Consider the following 6,354-nt stretch of genomic DNA (forward strand, 5'->3'; position numbering starts at 1 on the left):
CAGATACCCTAAATCATTATTCTTAAGTTTAAAGTTTCACAGATCCCTAGAACAGAAGCACAAGTTCTTTGCTAAAGCATAACCAAAGGGAGCTTTGTTCCACTTCCCAATAAGTTCCTCATTTCCATCTGAGACCTCCTCAGCCTGGACTTCACTGTCTATATCACTATCAGCATTTTGATCACAATTTAACAAGTCTCTAGGAAGTTTCAAATTTCCCTTCATCTTCCTTTCTTCTTCTGAGCCCTCCACAGTCTTACAACCTCTGCCTGTTACCCAATTCCAAAGCTGCTTCCACATTTTCAGGTATCTTTATAGCAATGCCCCACTTCTCAGTACCAATTTTCTGTATTAGTTCATTATTGCACTGCTATAAAGAAATATCTGAGACTACATAACTTATAAAGAAAATAAGTTCAATTGGCTCACAGTTTTGTACACTGTACAGGAAGCATATTGGCTTCTGCTTATGGGGAGGCCTTGGGAAGCTCTTACTTATAGAAGAAGGCAAAGGGGGAGTGAGGCACTTCTTACATGGCAGGAGCAGAATTCTGGGGGGTGGGGGGAAGTGCTACACACTTTCAAACAACCAGATTTTGCAATAACTCACTCACTATCACAAGAAGAGCACCAAGAGGATGGTGCTAAACCATTAATGAGAAATACACCCACATAATCTAATCACCTCCCACCAAGCCCCACCTCCAACACTGGGGATTACAATTCAACATGAGATTTGGGTGAGAACAGAGATTTAACCATATCACCACTTCACAGGTAATGTATCTTGTAATAAAATAATTTAAATTATTTCCTCCCATCCCTTGTATCATGGCTGTCATTCATGTTACTTGTATATAAGCACACTTAAGCATATATTATATATGTATATATACAGAAATGTATATATAATCAAATAAATTTTTTCTATTATTATTTTGAGCAAACTGTTATCTGTTAGGTCAATTGGGAATACAAAAAAATAAAGTTTTATTTTACCCTAACTTATTCTTTCTTTGATGTTCTTCCCATCTTTATGTAGATTTGAGTTTCTCACCTATAATATTTTCCTTCTCTCTAAAGAACTCCTTTTAATATTTTTTTGTTAAAACAGGCCTATTTTGATTTCTGATGATTTCTCTGTTTGCCTGAGAAAGTATTTATTTCTCATTCACTTTTAAAGGATAATTTTAAAGGATACAGAATTCTAGCTTGGTAAGTTTTTTTTTTTTCTTCTCAAGATTTTAAATATTTTGCTCCACTCTATTCTTGCTTACATGGTTTCTGACAAGTCAGATATAATTCTTATCTTTGCTCCTCTATAGGTAACATTTTTTTCCTCTGGCTTCTTTCAGAATGTTTTGTTTATCTTTGATTTTCTAAAATATGAAATGATATACCTATATATAGCTTTTTAAATATTTATCTTGTGTTCTCTGAGCTTCCTGGGTCTGTGGTTTGGTGTCTGTTATTAATTTGAGAAATTCCTTATTGTTATCACTTCAAATATTTCTTCTGTTCTTTACTCTCCTTCTTTCTCTTCTCATATTCCCATTTTGCTTATGTTATACTTTTTATAGGTGACCCACAGTTTTTAGATATCTGTTCTTTTCAAAATCTTCTTTCTCTTTGCTTTCCTGTTAGGTGTTTCCATGCCATATGTCCAAGCTCAATACTCTTTCTCAGCCATGTCCATTCTACCAATGAGCATGAAAAGCATTCTTCATGTCTGTTAGTGTTTTTGCTCTCTAGCATTTCTTTTTTATCCTTAGAATTTTCATCTGTCTGCTTGCATTGTCCATCTGTTCTTGCGTGCTATCTACTTTATCCATCTGAGCCCTTAGCATATTAATTATAGTTGTTTCAAAGTATTTGTCTGATAGTTCCAATATCCCTACCATATCTTAGTCTGGTTCTGATGCTTGCTGTCTCCTCAAACTGTGTTTTTTTTTTGCCTTTTAGTATGCCTTGTAATTTTTCCTTGATGGCTGGATATGAGGTGCTGGGGAATAGACTTGCCTTTAGTAATGTAGTGGGAAGGTATGGGGGATGGGAAAGCATTCTATAGAACTAAGATTTGTCCTCAGTCTTTTAGTAAGCCTTTGAACTGGGAATTTCAGAAGTGCTTCTCAGTTTTCTCTCTCACAAAGTGAAACAGGATGACCACAGGAGGCAGGAATTGGATATTTCTCTTCTGCCAGGTCACTTAAGTGCTGATAAAACTGTAACAGCTTACACTATAGTAAAACAGTGTCTGTTGAGGGCAGACCTGTTAGGAAGAGCAGAATGCTTTGGTCTGTTTCAGAGCATTGGTTTCTTTTCTCCTCTCCCTGCCAGAAGCACATGGAATTTTTCTCCAATATTCATTGTGATAATTTAGTTGAACTCCTAGGGGTAAAACTCACAAAAGTGGGGGGATCTCCCTATGACTGGTTTCCCTGGGAGTTTTTAATGCTCACACTTGCCCTATTGTAGGAACCACTCAGGTCTCACACTCAGGCACTGGTTGGTTCCAATGGAGGTTTCTTCTTAGGGGTTTCTGCTATGGTGAATTATGAATTTTTTTTATATTGGTCTGCCTCTCTAATTTGGGGGACAGTGGATTTTCCTTCTGACCTCACTTTTCTGAAAGATCTAAGAAGAGTTGTTGATTTTTCAGTTTGTTCAGGTTTTTGCTTGTTAGGACAAAATGACAACTTTCAAGCCCCTTTCATATGAGACCAGAAACCAAAACTTGGAAATTTGTTTTTGGAGTAGTGAAAATTCTCTGGAGCTAGATAGGGATGATGATTTAACAACTCTGTTAATATTCTAAAAACTACTGAATTGTATACTTTTAAAAAGTGAATGTATGTCACTTTTTAGTATGTCAATTGTATCTCAATAATAAAATCATACAACAGATTAGCCTGAAATACAAATAACCTTCACAGTTTTCATTCCCGATGACAAAACAAAAAGATGCTCGAGAAATGCTATTTACGACAAAAGTAGTCCTATAATAAAATGTATTTAAATGCTATGTCACAAAGCACAGACCACAATATAATGCTGTTAGGTGACAGGGCTGTAGTGTCATTTTATCAATTACTTTGCTTCAGTATGTTTTTTTACTTGAATAAAATAGTGTTCACCATTAGTCAACAATTTTAACTGATAGCCCTTTTTGTTATCTTCCAGACAATATTCAAGATTTAGAAGTCAGATAGGCAGCAGTGTTTGTTCTAAAACTGAATTCATAGATGTTTTTCTAGTCTGTGGGCTAGAATATGGGACCATGTAGAGTAATACTCTGGACTCCAAAGGAGAGAGAGTTGATCAAAACTAGTCAGATTTCAAAGCCCCAGCCATTTACTGGGAAAATGCTCCCAGAAGATGACTCTGACATTGACTAGGAAACTAGAAAAATAAGGATTGTGTAAACCAAAACGACAGAGGAAATGAAGACCTGCAGCTTTGCAGTGATAATTTTTGGATGGAACAGATTTGTGTCTCAATTCTGCAACTGTGTCTAAACCACCATGATTAGAAGTTTGTCTTAGATCTCAGAGGGTGACCTTAAAAATATCTTTTATTTTTTTGAAATTATTAAGGCTCAGAACAGACCTGGACTGCAGATGGGGTCATATGTGGATCCAGTAATGGAAAGATATGAGATGCAGAGGTTGAGGAATTCAGGCAGAGGGTGGCGTGTGGGGAAGATTTTTAGTGTGTGCTAGTTAAAAACTTATTGTCATATTAAGACTCAGGAACCAAACTGCCTGGATTTGAATCCTAGTTCTATCATTTACTAGCTGAGTGACACTGGGCAAGTTCATGCTGAATTTCCTTATCTGTGAAATGAGAGAAACAAAAGTACTACTTCATAGGGTAGTTTGTGATAAGCACTACATATGTAATAGCTTTGATAAGAGATCAAGAAGTGAATAGCAATGAAAATAAACTCACTGTAGAATTATATAGGACATATATCTATATATACAAATATATATATTCTTAGCCATATAATATGTAGCATGTGCACACACATTTACACAAAAATATATTAATAAACGAATCATTAAAAAATACAATTTGAGAAATCTTACTAATTTGCCCTGGTAAGTCATGTTCTCATTCTCACTAGCTGCTCTCGCCTGCTCAGAAACTTAAGTCCAACATGTTGTTTGATGGATCATGGAGATAAGTAGACAAAGAAAATATGGAGACTATCAAAGAATTCAAGACTCCCTGAGAAACTACCTTAATTCCAGCACAATCCTTGATTGCTGAGGAAAGCAACCCTGGCTGTGATGAAACACCTAGCAGTACCCATAAACTCTGAATTGCGGTAACGACACAAGGCCAGACATTCCTGAAGCCCCAGCTTAAACTGCCTCTTTCCACCATTATTATTATGTGTATATATTTAAATTGTCAAAGTCTCTATTTGACTGTCAAAATTGGAAATTACAGTATGTATTTATATTTCCTTGAGAATTTGTGGAATAAATTTCAGTATAATATGTACTTATATTTTCTTGGAATATGTAAAATAAAATGAGACTAAAGTTAACAGTACAGAAATAAAATTAATGTGAATAATGAAATTCTATTTTTAAGCAGAATTGTTTAATTCAGAAAGGGAGATAATGGGTACATATAATCAAAATGACCATTTTCTCTCAACTCTTCTACTTCACTCCATTCCTTCTGCAGCCAAAAATCAGAAAGAAGGTGGATGGCACTGTTACGCCCTAAGATTGTAACTTGTAAAGAGAGAAGAAAATTATTTTCTAAACTGTTGCAGGTATAGTTCAGTCATTAGTTTAGTAGCACTGGACAGGCCTGGGTTTGATTCCTGCTTTACCTATTATTCAATGTGTGCCTCATACAGATATTCCAACTGGAGCTTCAGTCTCTTCTTATGTAAAGTGGCAGTAACATTAGTCCTCACAGGTACTTAAGTACTTGACACAGTACTTGGCACATACTAGTTTAAATATTCTAGCTATTATCAAATACTTAAAATTCTTATAAGCCACATTATCATCACACTTTTCTACTAACTTAATTTTTTTTGTTCTTGGGTTTAAGAAAACCCAGTGGTTCGTTCCATAGTTCATGTTTAATATGGCCATTTTTTTCTTCTTGAACTCCAATGCATCTGTGGCTGACCCTTGACTTTACTAGTAGCTCATCAACATATTTGGACAGAAGAAGAATTTGATGTTTGGTTCATTATTTATGTGAAATCAAGGAGTTGGCAGCATACACAACTGAATGAGAATTCTAGAAATGGCCTTTTCAGCAAATGTATGACAAAGAAGCACTTACTTATTAAGACTCTTCCCAAGTAACAACTTGTTTCCATATTACCTAGACAGAGAAAGAAAGAAGTTCCCATTTGTCCCCAAAAGCAGAAAAAACATCAAGTAGTTCAAAAATTCAGGCTTGGGTAAGGAAAAATTATGATATTTTCCAATAAGTATTAAAAGATAATTTTATAATTTTATTTTATTTTATTTTTGAGATGGAGTCTCGCTCTTTTGCCCAGGCTGGAGCACAGTGGCACGATCTCAGCTCACCGCAACCTCTGCCTCAGCCTCCCAAGTAGCTGGGACTACAGGCACACAGCACTACACCCAGCCAATTTTTGTATTTTTAGTAGAGACAGGGTTTCACCATATTGGCCAGGGTGGTCTCGAACCCTTGACCTCGTGATCCACCTGTCTCGGCCTCCCAAAGTGCTGGGATTACAGGTGTGAGCCACTGTGCCCAGCCGAATTGTTTTTTTTTTTAATTTGGTTAACTAAAGGACATTCTTAGGCCATAATTTTATTTCATATTACCATTCAATGCAAAAAGTGTGACATTTGAGTTACAGGACTGATCATGCAAATTTCTAAAATCTAAAATGCCCTTTTGCTCAGTTTAGAAATGAAAATAATACATTGAAAGAGAAAACATCTTCTTGGTAAAGAATAACTTAGGAGGAAGGATCCAAGAACACTGCAGGACGTGAGTTCAATAAGATTATCAACGAGAAGGAAGGAAACTTGGTCATTAATCATTTGTTTTGGAAATATATTTTGAAAATGCTTCTAAGTATTTGCACTGTGCTATATGCACTGGGGACAGTCATATTAAACAATTCTTGCCTTAAAGAAGCTTACGATCTAGCAAGAGAGGGAGACTGAGCCATTAATGGCTATACTACATCAATGGTTATAACCATTGATGGTTATACCACAGCCATCAATGGTTATATCACATCAGTGGTTATGTTTCATTAGCAAGCAGATACAGGATGCTTTGGGAACACCATGGGAGGGAAGTCATGGGATGAGAAAAAATGAAACTGAAAGAGACTCC

This window comes from Homo sapiens, chromosome 4 (genome assembly GCF_000001405.40).
Source record: "Homo sapiens chromosome 4, GRCh38.p14 Primary Assembly".
In the NCBI taxonomy this organism is placed as follows: Eukaryota; Metazoa; Chordata; class Mammalia; order Primates; family Hominidae; genus Homo; species Homo sapiens.